Raw genomic sequence first — 20,322 nt, 5'->3', positions numbered from 1 at the left:
ATCAAAGACATCCTGAAATCCAAACTTTCAGATGAATAGATATGTTATCTGTCTCCCAGATGGACAAATAAATGGACATCTTCCCATCCACTTATTTCATAGCTTGACAAATACTGATTCCATATTTACCAATTCTTGTTTAGAAGTTTTCCTCAAGGTCTCAGATAACATACTAAAAATAATAATTAATGAACATTATTCTTGATTCAAAAATAGATTAGATAGATGATAGATAGATAGATAGATGATAGATAATAGATAGATAGAAGGTAGGTAGCACTTTCACTTTCTGTTTTTGTTCCATGATATGACTCCCCAGGTTTTCCATACTATTCTTTATTTGTTCAATTTTAGTTCATTTCCAGTCTCCACTTTCCCTAAATGTAAATGTTGATAATCCTCAGAATTCTAGCTTCAGTCATTTTCTAGTTGTATTCTACATATTCTTTCTGGGACCTTCATTTTTTTTAATCACTTCATTTTAACACAATGGCATTTTATTTAGGTAGAAATATCTACTGATCATTTTGAAACTCATGACTAAAGTTTTAAAATGACATCAGAAATTTAAATAAGAAGAGATCATGTCCCAGAGTTGACAGCGGGACTAGTAGCAATGAATAAAATGAAATTAGAGATGGGTTTTAGAAGAGAGAGAGAGAAAAGGTGGCATACACATATCTACTCAAAGATAGCAAACATAGTCTGAAATTTGTCTAGAGATGTCCGCATTTTTAAGATCAGAATAAGAGAAGTGACAGAAGAAACAGAGAAGTAGAACACATTATTATTAGGTTAGGCAGGACGGAAAAATTACAGAAGAAAATATTCACTTAAATTTAGTCATGCAAATTCAACTTCTGTGATTCCATGTAATTCTAGAGGCCTTTAGAATTATCTTTAAGACTTTGATTTTAGGTGGCTTCCAAATGGTGGACTAAAGATTCTTGAGAAGGCAGGACAAAGAAATAATAAAGAAGTCTTCATATTCTTAATCATAGTATATGAATCACATAAATAATATATTTTATGCACAGTCATTATATCATAAATATATATATTAATATGTACATAGACACAGATATGTACATACACGTACATACACATACGTACAGGCTGTAGTGATTCAAAAATTATCGAATGCATCATAGCTCCCTTAGCCTAGAATGCCCTTTTCTACACTTCAATAATCTCTGGTTTCATAGCCAATCCATATTTAAACTTCATATCTCAGTTTAAGTGTGAGTTCCTATAGGTCCACCTTTATTCACTGCTTACATTTCTTCTTTATAACACTCAGCATTTTTATAATCGCTTAACAGGTCCATCCATTTAAAACATATTTTATGTCTGTTTTTTGTATGTTGACGTTGGCTTATGCTCAGGATAAATTCGTGTTCCAGATGGACAGTGACCTTTATGGAATTTAGTGTCTAGTGGCAAAATTCTCACTAAGTGTTCTCTGAAAAGTACTAAGAAGAGGTTCAGAGTGCTATGAAGGCTCAAAAATTTGAAACTTTTCAAGTCTAGAAGGAGGGAAAAATATATTCTCAGTAGAGAATATAATTTTAGGATATAAAACTTACTCAATAATCCACATACTTATAAGCAAGAAAGGGAAGATTTCTAAGGGCTTAGCCTTTAGATATAACCTATGACTCAGCACATGATGATAATTTGAACTTTTTAAGCTTTTGTTCATCATCTGTTTTCCAAATCTCTTCATATGCTATAACAGCTTTATAAAATTTGCTTTTATACAACAGATGACCTAAATTAATATGAGGAAATCATATAAAATTTGTCTCCCTTGATTTCACCCTTAATTGTATTATTAATTTAGTTTTTACTTTTTTCAGTATGAGTAATTATCACTAATTTTGTAACACACCATGCAATGGCCCTCAGATCAAATTATTTGGAGATAAAAAGACGAAAAAAGAAAACCAATACTGTGCACTCATATTCAAATCAATGCAGTAGCTAATTTTTGCACTAAGGTTTTCAGTGAGTTCAAGACTGCTTTAGGATGTTCAGATGCAGATGTCCTCAGCATGGAATCTGGACTTGCTATGACTTTCACCAAAATACTAATGGCTTGAAAAGATGAGAATGGTTATATTTTACAGCAACTACTGAAACCTTCCCCAGCTGGTGAAGCAGAACCATTAAAAAATACAGCACCAGAAAGACTTTTAGTAGAGCTGTCAGATTTTAACATTCCAGGGTTGCATAATTACTGTATTCTCTAATGCATGCCAGAAAAGAATAGTTGGGAATTAATGAGTGAATCCAATTGCTTAGTTTCTCTGGTTATGAGCAGCTCTACCAACAGAGTTAGGCTGTGCTCTTCCTCTGTTCATTCACCAGAAGAAATGAGACCTCTGAACATTTTACCCACAATATCATAATTTGAACATCATTTTGTGTTGGAGTGTCTTAAACAGAAGAACTCCCCGTATACCATTCACTGTTCTTAGTTTCATCCAATTCTGTGTAATCTCTGTTTCCCAAGCATGCTACAGGTACACCTGCTTCCACTCTTCTGTTAGGCTGTTTTATTCTGTGAATGCTTTCTTACTTATCCTGTATTTTTTTTCTTCCCAGCGATACCCAGTCCACATGTCCTAGTTCAAGTTCCTATAGTAAGCTTTTATCATTTTCCCTCTTGCTATCTTTCCTCTATCATTGTCATTATTATTGAGCAATTATACAACAAACATCATACAGAGTATATGGTGTATTAAATCGATGCCAACTATCTACAAAGAAGTTCCAAAATCAAATATTCATGTATATATGTATGTGTCAACCTATTTATCTGTCAGATATAACTTAGAGACAAATAATACAGAAAAGGTACAATAAAGGGTTATAGTAATTCCAAGAAAGCAGAATTTACTTCAGTCTGAGTCATATAACACAAACTAGATTATATCAGTAATTATTTTTAATTTATCATTTGCTTTATCAATTAATTTGCTGTCTCCCACGTAAAAGAGAAGAAGTACTAGGCTGGGCGCTGTGGCTCATGTCTGTAATCCCAGCACTTTGGGAGGCCGAGGCAGGAGGATCACCTGAGGTCAGGAGTTCGAGACCAGCCAGGCCAACATGGTCAAACCCCCTCTCTACGAAAAATACAAAAATTAGCTGGGTGTGGTGGCAGGCACCTGTAATCCCAGCTACTCGGGAGGCTGAGGCAGGAGAATCACTGGAACCCGGGAGGTGGAGGTTGCAGTGAGCCGAGATCGCGCCATTGCACTCCAGCCTGGGAGACAAGAGTGAGATTTTGTCGCAAAAAAAAAAAGAACAAGTACTCTATACTTTCTGACCTTAATTTCGAGGAAAAATTTTATTGCAGAATCAAATAAACCTTATTATACACCTAGCATGAGCAGGGCATTATTCTAGATAATTTTACTGACATTATTTATTGTTTATCTTTTCACAGTTAATAAATATTTGATTACAATAAAGAATAGCAAATCACATTTGTATACTGCTTTTAAGATATCAATGCAGATTCCCTGTTTGATGTTACCTTTTAATATGCTATTTCATTTATCTTACAAGGAAATGCATCACATTAAGCATATTGTCCTCAGGATGATGAAAGTTCAGTAATATTATTACATTATAAAGTTTTATTTTCCAAATATTTAGAAAACTGCTTACTTATCCAGGTAAAAAGTAATTGACTGGGACTGTGAGGCTGAAAACTCAATGGTGGGAAAATTTCTGAAGCAAATGTAAATTCATAGAATGTGTATAACAGACTTCTGGGAAGAAAAGTTTGTAGAAACTTATCAACATGACAATCCAAAAAATAAACTTTAGACATTTCCTTTGTATTCACTACATGATTAATTTTCAGCTTGGATTAAAAAAAGTAGATATAGTCCACTTTCAAAATAGAATGAGGAATTTTAGAAGTATATTACAATGACTTACATTTTATGTTAGCATTTTGTGATTGACCATGTATTATTGGCTACTTCTCAGATGCATATATGTCAGACTTAAACACTGTGTTCTTAGCATTTTCATATATAATTCCCCAATACTGCTGTTTTATTCAGTCTTTGCACAGGAGTTGATAATTTTATATTCATACAGGAAGTTTTCATATGTATAAATTTAAATATATACATATATATATAAAATTCTTTTTTTTTTTTTTTGAGACAGAGTCTTGCTCTGTTGCCCAGGCTAGATGCAATGGCAGGATCTCAGCTCACTGCAACCTCTGCTTCCTGGGTTCAAGCGATTCTCATGCCTAATCCTCCAGAGTAGCTGGAATTACAGGGGTGTGCCAGCACATCTAGTTAATATTTTCATTTTTAGTAGAGACAGGGTTTCATTATGTTGGCCAGGCTGGTCTCAAACTCCTGGCCTCAAGTGATTTGCCCACCTGGGTCTCCCAAAGTGCTGGAATTACAGGTGTGAGCCAGGGTGCCTGGCCTCATATATTTTGTAAAATGTAATTGGAGTCACTATTTGCTATGAATCCCAATGTGTTTTAAACAAGTGTAAATGTAATAACATTACTTAAAATGAATTGTTATGAAGAAATCTTCACAAATAATGTACTTCATTTTGAGCCTGTGTGTCATACAATGTATTCTGAACACAACAACAAAACAATCATAGATTTTAAAATGGCTAAGTAGCCCATAAAAATGCTTAATAATACTAAATTACTCAATTCCTATTAGAGTGATTCTGCTTTGTTTTAAACTTTAATCATTTAATTTTAGATCATTAAGCTTTCCCCAGTTCACTTGAAATCAGCTGATATAACTTGTTAAAATTTTTATAATACAATAATGACTAAGTATAAAGTTGAAGAATTATAATGTAATGAATATTACAATTCTGAAGTTGCACCCATTAACTGTGGGGTATAGTTGGTTCCAAACAAGAAGAAAATGCTTGAAGCATGTTACATTTAATTTTTAACTTTTGAAATATTTAGACTCTAGAGAATGTGTGGCCTAAAAAGTCTTTTGAGACATTGATACGGTTGGGCTGTGTCCCCACCCAAATTACATCTTGAATTTTAGTTCCCATAATCCTCACATGTTGTGGGAGGGAGTGGGTGGGAGGTAATTGAATCCTGGGGCTGGTTAACCTCATGCTGTTCTCATGATATTGAGTGAGTTCTCACAAGATCTGATGGTTTTAAAAGGGGTGTTTCCCCCTTTGCCAGGCACTTCTCCTTGCTGCTGCCACGTGAAGAAGGATGTGTTTACTTCCCCTTCCACCATGACTGTAAGTTTCCTGAGGCCTCCTCAGTCATGTGCAACTGTGAGTCAATTAAACCTCTTTCCTTTGTAGATTATCCAGTCTTTGGCAGTCCTTTATAGCAGCATGAGAATGGACTAATACAGACATTACATTTTGTTTGACTTTATTGATAATAAAAAACATTTTTTAAAAATTCTGTCACCCCAAAGCTAAAGATAAATATATATTACATATATTTTGCATATATGAGTAGTGCTCTTACTGATTTATTTATTATATATGTATTTATTTCAGCATAGCAATGATAGTAAACATTTAATGTTTTTGTAATGACATCTCAGTGCAACTAGTTACCTGCTCTTTTAGTCAAGGACATTGAGTTAGTGACCCTTATGCCTCAACCAGTCAGCATCCTCCTATCCATCAGTGAAGACAATCAGATTATTGATGATGAATGTTCTCACTGGGTTACCTCATTGAGAATTCTTATCTACTGTTGGTGAATATTTATATAAACGTAAAGACCAAATTTGGGTATATCTATGTTTTCTTTAGTCCTTAGGAAATGGGCAGATATTTAATGCTGCTCCGTATGGCTAATGATTAATGCAGAAAACTTTCTATGTATGACAATGATTCTAACTTTAAATCAATTTGTATCCATGGAGACATGGGTATTGTATAGCCTGTATAAAAATCTGATGACAATAATATATAACAGTTTTTTCAACATTTTCAAAATGTTGACAAATATAGAATCTGATAACATTTATAGAGCTCAATCTAAAAAACAAACAAACAAACAAACTGAGACTGCACTTGAGTAGAGACAACTCATGCAGGGGATCTTACTGAAAAGGATGAGATAATCAGTATCTCAGCACACTGTAACACAACTGTGATAAAGCAGTAAAATGCCAAACACCTATTGGAAGCTTCAAATTAAGAAATTAAACATCAGTGTCATAACTTTTAGTCTAAACTCTACTTGCATTTATTAGTCACATTGGCTGAGGCATGAAAAGCTGGAACAATCAAATTCTATTGCTGATGATTAAATGTTAACAGTGAACTATGATGAGAATCCCAGTTGCTGTGTCAAATTGAAAGTTAGCAATGAAATGAGATTTCTCCACGATGTGGGAAATTTTCTGCTATTGTGAAAGAGAGTCACACCTGATAAAGAGACTGGACATAATTTGCTTCAAAAGTTACAATGAACGGTTATACTGAAATTAAATTCCGCAAGTGAGATTATGTATAATTCCAGATTTGCCCCCATTTATTTCAGGAACAGCTAGCAGGTAATACTCATTATATGAAATGAATGCTCAAGTTAAAAATTAGAAAGAAAGCTTTGAATAGCTATCTGGAACTAAATGAAGGAAATAAAGAAGAATCTTGATCAATTTACAGGCTAACTAGAAGCCTGAAACACCATTCACAATTGACTAAATAAGAAAAAAAATAATTTGTATGTATCTTCAAATAATCGTATAAGGTGGTAAACAAAATGCAGTTAGGAAAATTAGCTAAAAAATGTGTTGAAATTCTATTTTAAGTCTCAGTAAATTTAAGATGACATGAATTTGAAAAATAACCAGAGGTAAAATAATAAAATAAACAAATGAAAGGAGAGCTGTTTGGAGAATTAGGAGAAAGGGAAATAATGGAAATAGACAAGTACCTTAGAAGAATATAAGCTCTCAAAGAAGGAACAAAAAGCAGAAGTAATGGTGCAGAAAATAGAATTGGTGATATGGAATGTGAAGTTCAGTTTCTACCTTTTTATAGACTTAAATATATTATTTAGTGTTGACTCTGCCCTTGAATTTTGTAAATGAAAAATATTTAATACTTTGATTCCATTGTTTGTGTAAATCTTTATAAAAATGTTCCAAATATTAAATGTAGAAGAAAATATATTAGGTTGGATTATAATTTTAATTGTGGTGTAATTGTTTATGGCATTATGATTCTTAATGACTTTAAAGGTCCGTATTTATTTTCTAGTGTTTTAGCATAATTTATTTATGAATATTTTAAGAAACAATACATATAGAAGTAGTCTATGATGTTGAGAATCAAAGGCAAAATGTCAATTTTATAACTTCATAATTTACTTTAATGAGGAGAAAATAAAAGTACAACAAATCATCTTCATTTTAGACATAATATATTTACTTCAGAATACAGAGTATAAAAAAAGAAGAAAATTATTAGAAAAACAAGAGATAGTCAAAATACATTTTTTCATCCTATTTGAAACTATAAATTCTAAAAATACAGAAAAATGAACCCTTACAGTTTTTAATAGATAGCAAGCAAAATATTTTTTAAAAAGCTTTCATGTTACACTTAAAATAGGTGAGTTTTGGCTGGGCGTGGTGGCTCACGCCTGTAATCCCAGCACTTTAGGAGGAAGAGGCGGACAGATCACGAGGTCAGGAGATTGAGACCATCCTGGCTAACACAGTGAAGCCCTGTCTCTACTAAAAATACAAAAAAACTAACCAGGCGTGGTGGCGGGCGCCTGTAGTCCCAGCTACTCGGGAGGCTGAGACAGGAGAATGGCGTGAACCCGGGAGGTGGAGCTTGCAGTGAGCGGAGATCGCACCACTGCACTCCAGCCTGGGCGACAGAGCAAGACTCCGTCTCAAAAAAAAAGTAAAATAAAGTAAATAAACAGGTGAGTTTTATATACATTATACTTTGGTAAAGCTATTTTCAAAATGACAACTACACAATACCAACTGTTGAAGTTAAAATATTTTAAAAGATTTGACAAGCACCAATCATAGTTTTAAACTTTCTTAAAGGAAAAAGGAAAATATGGAATTTTTTTTCTTGATGAAAATGATATAGTTGAACAAACACAAAGGAATCAGCTATTTAGAGTACTGATAAATTATTTTCTTGCAACATAATATAAAAGTAGAAATTCTTTACTACTAAATTTTGGTGATGATACTTTTATATTACATTTTGTAATGATAACATTATCATACAAATAAAAAATATGTATTTTAAAATCTCATTTATTTCTCTATCCCAGTGATACAAAAATCACAGAGATAATCTAATTCAGCCAAATGTATATTTAACATCATGTAAATTAAATGTTAATTTGATTCACATATAATTCATATTAACATATATTTGGCATAATTATAGCATAAATGGAATGATCAAATTGTGCTATAAAAGCTTTTTATCAAGTTGCTATATCCAGGTGTTGGTGTTTCTATCTGTTTCCTTCATATGCAACTTTTAGTTTTAAATTCAGGGAATAAAGTTATTGCATTCTCTTTCTTTTCTCAGAGAACCCAAATAACTTAGAAGCTCTAAAAATGAACAGAATCACAAGTACGAATGTCATTTTTAACAAAGCTAAGGAAATAACATACACATGAAGCATTGGGTTATTAGACTTAATGATCTCTTAAATTTATTTTCCTCTTCCCACTATCACTTGTTACATTTTGGTTCCTTGGTGGAAAAAAAAATTTTTAAGAAAGTAGTTACCTGTACCCCTCTCACCACTTCATCACCTCCTATTCTCTCAGGGGCCTATACAAATTGATCAAAAGTATCTTTATAGGTGAATTCAAAAATCAAGTTCCCTCCTCTCACTTGACTACAGGAAATGGTTTGCCATAGTCGATCATGCCCCCTTCTTGGTTTTTTTAACTTAGCTTTCCAGATGGCACACTTTCTTGGTTTTCCTCCTATTATATACAGCTTCTTCTTCTGAGTTCCTTCTTAGTTCCTTGACTTATTTAAATTCTCTCTGTATGTACTCTGTGGTCTTATTCAATCCATTGGCTTTACATATCTTTTGTACATATTTAGCACTGAAAATTACAGCTGTATTCTAGGTCTCTTTCCTGAATAATGGTCTCATATATACAAGTGTCTCCTTGACTTTTTCATTTGGATATGAAGTCGGTTTCTCAGACTGAACAGGTTCAAAACATAACTTTTAAAATTTTAAAGCCATATCTACTCATCCCACACAAGACCAAAAACATGAGTCCTCTTTAATGTCCGTCTTTCCCTTGAACTCCATAATCAGTCAATCTAGAAGTACAATCAACTTTAACTTCTAAAATTGATTAAAAGAATCTGACATTGCCAACTGCCTCTTAGTTCAAGCAACCACCATTGATTACTACAATTGTTGTAATAGTTTCCTAAGGTTTCTTTTTACCTCCATGTTGCCTACATTTAGGCAAAATTAGTCTATTTCTTTAAATAAGTATAAAAAGATAAAACAATGCATAGATTCTTTTTCTTTTTTGTGCCTAAATACATTGTAGGTTTTCATTATTTAATAAGTTCATGGCATATTTCCAAGTAACTGCTGAAAGAAAGGTAATAATTTAAAAACCAGTATAAAAATAAGAAATAAAGAAATTATAATAATTCAATGTAAGACAAGAAAGAAACAAGGCAAAAAATAAGGAAATAATCTTTAAATCTATGTATAACAGAAAAATTTGAATAATTGAAATAAAAACTACTAAAATATTTTAAATATGGAAATCTTGAATCTAATATCAAATATAATATAAAGGCAAAGTTTTAAAAATATTAGGCAAATACAAGCCAAATAACTTGATGTAGACATTTTTATAAGGGTCAAACTAGGCCAAGTGCAGTGGCTCATGCCTGTAATCCTAGCACTTTGGGGAATTTGAGGCAGGAGGATCCCTTGCGGCCAGGGTTTCAAGACCAGCTTGGGCAACATAGTGAGACTCTATCTCTACAAAATACACATAAAAAGGTTAGCCAGTTGTAGTGGTGTGCACCATATTTCTAGCTACTTTGGAGGCTGAGGTGAGAGGATAGCTTGAGCCCAGATGGTTGAGGCTACATTGAGCCATGATGCGCCAATGCACTCCAGCCTGGGTGACAGAGTAAGACTCTTGTTTCAATAAATAAATAAATAAATAAATAAATAAATAAATAAATAAATAAGTAAACCTTACACCAAAAAAAAAAAAAAAAAAAATGGGGGCAGTATACAAATTGAATCAACCCAAAATGATAAGGAAGTTCATCAAGAAGATCAATCAATTATAAACATATAGACATTTTTAACATACCCACAAGTATATAAAACAAAAATGGTAACATTATAGGAGTAATTGATCAGCTGAAAATTTGGCCAGTAATATGTCAAACAATTATAAGATTTAAACAATACAATGTTTTATCTTGTTCAGTATAATTCTATTTCTGCTATTATAGGAATAGTTCATTTTTGATTGAATTAAAAATTATTTCCTCCCGTTTTTCATACTTCAATTTCTTCAATATTTGCAAAATACACTATTTCAGTTTCAGTTTTATCTAACAATAATTCAAAATCAAAATAGTCCTCATTTCACACAAACTCTAATTGTATACTTAAATTAGGTTATACTCTCTTTTCTCCAGCTATCTCTTCTTTCTAAAGTTTGAATTCATTCTTTTCTACTAGATGAACTTCCACAAATTTATGAGAAACCTGGCTCCAGGTTTCTATAATCACAACAGAGTAAAGCCTCTATGCTTTACTGACTACTTCAATATCAAGGATCCCAGGGAAGAATTCTGATTGATTTTATTTGGGTCACAACTTGTCTCTTCATCCATCGCTATAGTCAGAGGTAGAGGCTTTATGATTTAACCAGATTTTTTAAAGGTATAATCATTGTGTAGCAGAAAGAGAGTAGATTAACTATTAGCCAGCCCCAACATTCATTAATATAAGAGAGGAAAACATTGGAAGAATGCCCAGAGGAGCATTTTGAACATGTTAAAAATAGTTCCCAAAACCCTCACTACACAGTAATGTAGAATTTTCATTATCAATTTGTGTGCTGAATATGAAAGTATATGTAGAATTTTATGTTTTCATTGAAATAAATTAAAGATATAATTTGTATTTTTTTATCTTTTGTAAAACTATTCAGAAAAGGTGACAGCATATAATAATGAAATTTACTTTCTTACCTGGAGAAAACAAGATATTTTAATGACAATGCTAACAACAACTTTTTTAGTATATTAATAAAAGTGAGAGAATGGTAGTAAAATACAAACAGATACACACAAACATATATGTAATGTTGTCACTGGATAAAGTTTTAGGGCACACAGAATTAACTAATATTAAGCTGTATTTCAAATATGTTCATGGAAAACTCAAATTTTCCAAAATTTTAGAAAGTTCAAACCTAAGTTAAAACACATCATTCGGAACATAAAATTGTTTTATGATTGCAGCAAAAGTGGTAGTACATCGTCTCCGCCGATGTTCAGACTGGATGTCAACTGAACACTCTTTATGTGTAAAGAAACGTAATGGATCAGTCTCTGTTTTCTCTATTAAAGATAATAAACACTGCCTGGTAAGAGCTACAAAATTTTGTGATTATCTAATAATCTAAAAATGATGGCTATAAATTTAGGGTTCAAGTCTTAAAGGTTCGAAATTGATTTTATCATTACCAGAGGCAATGACAGAAATGAACATGATTTACTCACAGAACCTAGCTGTTACTGCCATAAAATCACATATAAATATTAAAGTTCCTTGGACATTTGTAGACTAGAAAGCCACTGAATTGTTTATAATTTTATAATTATAAATTTATAATTTATCTTTTTTCTTCCAAATTCAGCCTGACTTAAAAATTGCAACATGTCAAAAATATTTAAAAATATCTATTTTCATATTATCTTGTGAAAATTTATTTGGGAAAAGTTTAACAATATCTTCTGTTCATATTTGTTAATTTTGTTATTCACAGTTAAAGAAATATTTATTTGTAACTATACCAAAGAATAAATTTCACTATTATTTTGCTATGAAAGACAAGAAAAACCAACATTGGTATTTGCATTGAGTTTGATTTCTAGCTTTAAAATTTATTTATATTTGAAATAAACGATCTGTGATTATTCACATTGTATTAATTAGCATAGGCAAAATTACCATGATGAAACTGAATCTCAATGTGTTAGTGGTTTACAACAAAGAATTTGATTCATGCTAGGTATTTATGACAAGTTGAATTTTAACATTTATCTATGTTTTCATAAGGCAGGGATTTAAGCTAAGTGGCAAAGCCTAACTAGTACGTTGCTGATATTATAACACAAAAAATTATAAATCAGGGTGGAACCATATAATGATTCTTAAAATTTATTCTTTTGACACACATTTCTTTAACTCACACTTCATTGGTTTGAACACATTATATGGCTAATTGTTACTTAAAATGGACAGAGTACTATGAGCTCCCCAGTAAGGGGCAGTGTATGTCAGTTCTGATGAACATATAATGCTGAACAAATATTTTGAATAAGAGTAAAAGCAACTACAGTTTTCCCCTTAGCCACAGATACTCATTTATTTTAATTTCACATGTAAAACAAGCCCAAGGATGGAACTGGAGGTCATTATCTTAAGTGAAACAACTCAGAAACAGAAAGCCAAATACAGCATGTTCTATTTAGTGGGAACTAAATAATGCATACACATGGACATAGAATATGTAATAATAGTCACTGGAGATTTGGATCATTGGGAGGGTGGGAGGAGGGTAGGGGATGAGAAATTACTTAATGGGTAGAATGTATGCTACTCAGGTGATGGCTACACTCAAAGCCCAGACTTCATTAATACGTGTATTAGTTCATTCTTATGCTGCTATGAAGAAATACCTGAGACTGGGTAATTTATTTAAAAAAAAGGGGTTTAATTGACTCACAGTTCTGCATGACTGGGGAGGCCTCGGGAGACATACAATCATGGTGGAAGGCGGCTCTTCACAGGGTAACAGTAGGGAGAATGAGTGCCAAAAGAAGGGAGAATCTCCTTTTAAAACCGTTAGATATCATGAGAACTCACTCACTGTCAGGAGAACAGCATGGGAAACAATCCCACCATTATTCAGTTATCTTCACCTGGTCCTGCCCTTGACACCATGGGGATTATTACAATTCAAGGTGAGAGCTGGGTGGGAACATAGACTCAAACCATATCACTACCCAACATATTCGTATAACAAAACTGCACTGGTTTCCCTTAAATTTTTTAAAACAAAACAAAACTCAACCATTCTCAAAGAAAGGTAACATAAATATTTCATACAATATCTACAGTAAACTTATATCCAGGATCTCATTATCTCTAAATTACATCTGTCGTGACTCCTTTTGCTCTGGGGCCTGTAAACTAAAAAGACGAATGACTTCTCCATGTCAACTAAACCTAAATGAAGAACAGTAAAGGGATAACTGTAATAAACATCACATCTGGAGAGGAAACAATGGGAGACATAAATTATGTACTGTACCAATACATAACAATTCTGAAATCCACCTGGGCAGATGTTTCAAGACTCTCTTACCATTAGGGTTGAGGATTCTTGATTAGACTCTCTTTTCTGTCTCCAAATAATATGTTTAATCAATAATTTAGGTTTCTATATTAATCAGTACAAAATTCTCGAAAATTTGGTTGGCTTTCTATATTATGCAATTTTAGTCTGTTACCTGTACTGATACCCACACCCACACATTTTTCTAAAAATTTATTTCTCTAGACCTCATTGTGGTCAACTTGAAACCACACAAAAAAGGGAGAGCCACACTGTTACCCTCTTTTACTTGAGTAATTTTGTCCAACTTTAGTAAACTCACTATTGGACAAATTAATCTACTCAGAGGTTTTTATCAATAGTCAAATATTTGAAGTGTGCCTGGTCAAGAGGCTGAGTTGTAATAAGCCCTTATCTTCTCCAGATATTCTTATTTTATATTGATTGTGTTAGATATAAGGTCTAAATTTCTCTTCAAAGAATCAATATGTCAGTATGTTCAATTCTTTGCCTTCTACTTTTAAACTTAACTTTAAGCAACCTTTTTTGATTACCTCCTCCACCATGACTCATTCTGATTACCTACTCCAACCTGACTCATTCAGATTACCTGCTACCTGCTCTGCCCTGACACATTCTCCACCCTGCATAACCATTTTTTTTCTCCCACCAAAGTACTCACCTCCTTGCTCTCTTTAGACAATCGGAATTAGTTTAGCCTGTGCAGTCTAACCCTAGCCAGCTGGGGGAAAGACACAGCAGCAGGGGCCACATGCGTCAGAGATAAGAACCCCTTCCCCTCCTTTGTCCGAGTGTGCGCTCACCATTGCTCCATCTGTAAGGGTGCACCCTTCTGTAGAAATGTCTTGCCTTGCTGAGAATTAGAAAATTTTATATCCGAGTGCTATTTCTTTTGTGGCACCGGAACTTTATATATAACAACTGGAAACAATAAATAGTTCTAACTTTAAAACTATTATATAATTCCTGGTTTCTCTTTGGGGAGATTCTTTGTCTTCCAAGTTATCATAAGGAAGAGTTTTACCAAATATTTTCAGATTATGTAATATGAATAGTCATCTTACCAGTCTAAAATACGAGTGTTCTTCCCAATGACTCCACTGCCTCTTTATTCTTGCTATATTTGTTAGGTGTATTTTATGACAGTTATTTTTATTATTTTATTATTATTATTATTTGCCAGGAATCTCAGTGGTTGAAAAACAAGGACCTGTTTCTTACCCCTGCTTCATGAACATCTTGAGTCACATGTGGACACTACTTACCTCAAGTTAGAGGGGAAGAAAAAATGGTAAAATCAATTTTTTATGATAGTAAAATGGTAAAATCAATTTTGTTCTTGCTTCTCAGAGCCATAAGTCATTTACGCACATTTTAAAAATATCATAACTTCCCCATTATTAAAATCCTATTTTATTTTTGTACTTCCAAGGCAATATTTATTTTGCTTTCTTTTGTTTTCATATCCAAGGATGACATGATATTTAAAACTACATTCTGAGGTCATTCTTGCCATATTCTTATTTACTTTATTTTCATTTGTTTATTACACTGTACATGAACACCAGTTACCTTCATATGCATATACGTGAGTCTGTTCTGAAGAGCTTAAGCATAAGTCACAGATGTCATCTAGTCCCTGTAGTTCTGCAGCCTAATAGTTTACTCTCATCTAGTGTTTCATTTTATATTTGTGATTTACAGCCTCCACTTTGTGAAAAAAAAATCTGCAGATAGATCATCCAGGAATTATTTCTTGTCTTAAAATTGTACTTGTTAGGAAGAACATATAGCCAATTGACCAGGCACCCTCCAGGGGTTTCCTAACGTAAGCTAGGTATGTGGAATTTTCTGTTGTATTTTTAAATTATCTTATATTTGTATTTTTAAAAAGATAACTGAAGTAAAAAATAGAGCTGAATTTTCAAAATAAAAATGTATTCATGAAAAGGATAAATTCATTAGATAATAAACACTTTTCTGTTTCATATTTATAGTTTCAACCTGAATCAATTAAAGTTTAATTGACAAACATATTTTTGATAGACCAATACATTCTTTAGTTAAGTTAAAAATATATAATTGGATAAGAAGGTGTGGAATTTAATTTTATGTTCTTAAATGTTATGAACAAAATGAGGAATATTGTATGGTTTATGCTATATATCTGACATTAATTATATATTTTCATAATAGTACATGCCTTTCACAAATTGCTGTGTATTTGGGAAATTATTGTGCATTGATTGCATTTCCTGAGAAATGGCTGCTGCTAAACACATTTATTTAATTCAAATTTCAGTTTTATTTCTGTTAAAGAAGAATATGTTAGAATATAATGAGAAACACAATAGTTAAGTTTGATAGCTTTAATGAAATCATTCTCTTTCTTAGTGACCTTGAGGGTGTCCTAAATTACTCTTCTTGATGGTGCATGTCAATAGGAATAAGAGTAATAATTGTGCCTGATGGTCCATTTCTAGTGTAGCTTTAACAACTATATCCCGTAAGGTTTGAAGGTCTTTTTATTACTCTAAGTGAAATCAATAAACAAATTAATCCTTCTTTTTTCTATCTTAATTTACTTTCAGAAGTAGGTTGCACTTGCTGATTTCCCTCTGAAAAGTGTGGACTAATAAAATAGCATTTTTAAAATGCCAAGCACAGTACCTAACATGTATTATGTACTCTATAAACATCTTTTTCTTTTTACTAATTTCTCCTTTTTCCCCTGACAATAATGATCAAAGACGTTTTAGTGACTTATGTTTCTAGTATGCCTCTGAGAAAGAAACACATGTTTATCCACAGAATGAGTAATATTAATATAAAGTCCACTGTAGACTCTATTTACTGATTGTTAGATTTTCATACACTCCCTTTGGAATCTGTTAGGAGCATTGCTGGAAATGAAATATAAGAAACAAAGAAGACAGCTAATAGATTTTCAATAATAGACTTTATTTTTCTTCTTTTTATAACCATGTATAGCTGTTAAACAAAAAAGTAATACATCATTCAATTGTTAATGAAGATATCAGTTCAAATCCAGGCAGGAAACAGAAGGCATGGTCAAAAGTGGTGATTGAGAACAATTTAACCCATTTATACCAGAGGTTGCAAAACTTTTTGTGAAAAATCAGACGTTGGTGATGACCTTGAGCAGTAGGATGTAAATAACTCCCACAAGCTTGGCATTCCAATAATGGAACACTAGGCATAAATATGTTAATAAAGTATCATTATACAAATATGTGGGCAGGATGGAGGGAAATTACTAACATGAGGTCATGGAGGACCCCAGGACTAGTCACAGCTAGTAGGCATTATAGCCACTATGCCAGAATTTGCAAGAGGGCTTGAGCCCTCACATGAATTTACAATTTTGCTTCTGCTCTTGAGGAACCTCCACACAGTTCTTCATAGTGATTTTACTAATTCATATTTCCACCAACATTGTTTGTTTTCTTTTCTCCACATAATTGTAACTCTATTTTTTTCTTTTTAATAATAGCCATTCTAAGTGGGGTAAGAAAATTTCTCATTGTGATTATGATTTGCATTTCCCTGATGATTAGAGATGCTGAGCATTTTTAAATATACTTGTTGGCCATCTGTGTATCTTTTCTGGAGAAGTGTCTATTCATGTCCTTTGTCCATTTTTAATAAGATTATTTTGTGTTTACTGTTGACTTACCTGACTTCCTTGTATATTTTGGATATTAGTACCCTGTAAGATGATTAAGTAGTTTGCAAATATGTTTCCCCATTTTATTTATTTATTTATTTATTTTTTGAGATGGCGTCCCATTCTGTTGCCCAGAGTGGAGTGCAGTGGCGCAATCTCAGCTCACTGCAGCCTCTGACTCCTGGGTTCAAGTGATTCTCCTGCCTCAACCTCCCAAGTAGCTGGAATTACAGGCACCCACCACTATGCCTGGCTAATTTTTGAATCTTTAGTAGAGATGTGGTTTCACCATGTTGGCCAGGCAGGTCTCAAACTCCTAACTTCGGGTGATCCACCTGCCGTGGCCTCCCAAAGTGCTGGGATTATAGGCGTCAGCAACCTTGCCCGGTTTGCTTCCCCATTTTAGAGTTTGTCTCTTCACCATGTTGATTGTTTCTTTTGCTGTGTAGAAGCTTTGTAGTTTAATATAGTCCCATTTATCCCATTGTGTTTTAGTGGCTTAAGCTTTGGAGGTTTTAGCCATAAATTCTTTGCCTAGACCAATTTCTGAAGAGTTGTCCTTATCTTTTCTTCTAGTAGTTTCATAGTGTCAGGTTTAATCTATCCTGAGTTGATTTTGTATTTGATGAGGGATGGGAGTCAAGTTTCATTCTTCTTTCAGTTGACTTTTCCCAGCTCAATTTATAGGAGAGAGTGTTCTTTCCCCATTGTATGTTCTTGACAGCTGTGTGGAAGAGCAGTTGGCTGTAAATATATGAATTCATTTCTGGGTTTTTAATTCTATTTCATTGGTCTGTGTTGTTTGTATATAAATATTATGCTGTGTTGGTTACTATAGACTTGTACTATATTTTGAAGTCAGTGTGACACCTCCAGCTTTGTTCTTTTTGCTCAGTAATGCTTTGGCTAGTTATGCTCTTTTTTGATTCTATACAAATTTTAGATTTTTTTTTCTAATTCTGTGAAAAATGATAGTATTTTGGTAAGGATTGCACTGGATCTGTAGATTGTTTTGAGTAGTATGGTTATTTTAATGAAATTCATTTTTCTGATCCAGGAGCTTAGAATGAATTTCCATTTGTCTATGGCCTCTTCAATTTCTTTTATTACTGTTTTGTAGTTTTTCTTGTAGATATATTTTACTCCCTTGTATAAATTTATTCCTAGGTATTTTCATATGTATATGGGTGAAAAAAATATATTTATATATTTACTGGTAGCTACTTTAAGTGGAATCGTTTTCTTGATTTCTTTTTTGACTATTTCATTATTGGTATATAGAAATGTTACTAATTTTTATATTTTGATTTTGAATCCTTCATCTTTATTCAATTTGCTTATAATAATTTTTTGGTAGAATTTTTTGTTTTTTCTAAATATAAAATCATATAGTCTATAAAAGGGGACAATTTGACTATCTCTTTTCACATTTTGATGCCTTTTCTTTCTTTCTATTGTAAGATTTCTCTGGTTAGGACTTCCAGTTAAATATTAGTAGTGAAAGTATACATCCTTTTTTTTTTTGTTCCAGTTATAAGATAAAAAGCTTTCAAATTTTTCCCATTTAGTATGATGTTAGCTGTGGGTTTGTCATATATGTCTTTATTAATTCGAAGTATAATATGTTCCTTCTATGCCTAATTTGTTGAGAGTTTTTATCATGAAAGGACATTGCATATTATGATTTTTTTTCTGAGTCTCTTGAGATGATCATGGGTTTATTGTCCTTCATTGCTCTGCATATGTTAAACCATCCTTAAATCTATGGAATAAATCCAACTTGATCATTCTTTATGATGTACTGTTCAATTAGGTTTTCTAGTATTTTGTTAAGGATTTTAGCATCTATGTTCATCAGGGATATTGGCGTGTCTTTTTTGTTGTGGTTTTCTTGTATCTTTGTCTGGTTTTGCTATGAAGGTAATGCTAGTCTCATAGAATACATTAGCAAGAATTCGTCCGTCTTCAAATTTTTGGAATAGTTTGAGAAGGATTGGCATTTGTTCTTCTTTATATATTTGGCAGAATTTGGTATGAATCCATCTGGTCATGAGCTTTCATTTGTTGGGAGAATTTTTACTACTGCTTCAATTTCATCTCATTCTCAGCCAGGAAAGAATAGAATTAGTTAGATTGAAGCAGTAATACAAATTATCTCTTCTGCTGAAAAATCCACTGTTAGTGGAATGGGGATTCCTTTCGAGGTGACTAAATGCTTTTTTCTTACTGCTTTTAGGATTATCTCTTTGTGTTTAGACAGTTTGACTACAATCTGCAGTATAGAAGATGTTTTTGCATTGTATCTGTTTAAAGATCTCTGAAAGCTTCCTGCATCTGGATGTCTAAATCTCTTCCTAGGAAGTTTCCCACACTATTTTACTAAGTAGGTTTTCTAACTCTTTTGTTATTTCTTTGCCTTTTGGGACTTTGATAATTTGAGTATTTGGTTGCTTTATGGTGTCCTGTAGAGTTTGTTCATTTTTTAAAATTTTTCTTTCTTTATTTTTGTCTGATTGGGGTATTTTTTAAAAAACTTCTTCAAGTCCTAACATTCTTTCTTCCACTTGTTCTAATCTACTGAAGCTTTCAAATATATTTTGTATTTTATTCAATGAGTTCTTCCTTTCTAGAATTTCTCTCTTTTGCTTTTATGATACCTATCTCTTTGGTAAATTTCTCAGTCCTATCTGGATTTGTTTTTCTGATTTACATTAGTTTTCAGAACTCCGTTTTATCTCACTGAGCTTATTTGAAGTCAAGATTTTGAATTACTTTTCTGAGATTTTGGAAACTTTTGTTTGGTGGGGATCTGTTGCTGAAGACTTATTGTGCTCCTTTGGAGGTGTCATATTTCTTTGTCTTTTCATGTTTTCTCAGTCCTTTTTGTATCTGTGCATCTGGTGCAATAGTCACTTCTGATTTTGTTGAATTTGCTTTTGTAGGGGAGACTTTTTCCTGAAGATGAATTCATGGTTTTGGTTGGGTAGGGCA

Source organism: Homo sapiens, chromosome 8 (assembly GCF_000001405.40).
Source record: "Homo sapiens chromosome 8, GRCh38.p14 Primary Assembly".
NCBI lineage: Eukaryota > Metazoa > Chordata > Mammalia > Primates > Hominidae > Homo > Homo sapiens.
This window is presented reverse-complemented; position numbering follows the sequence as displayed.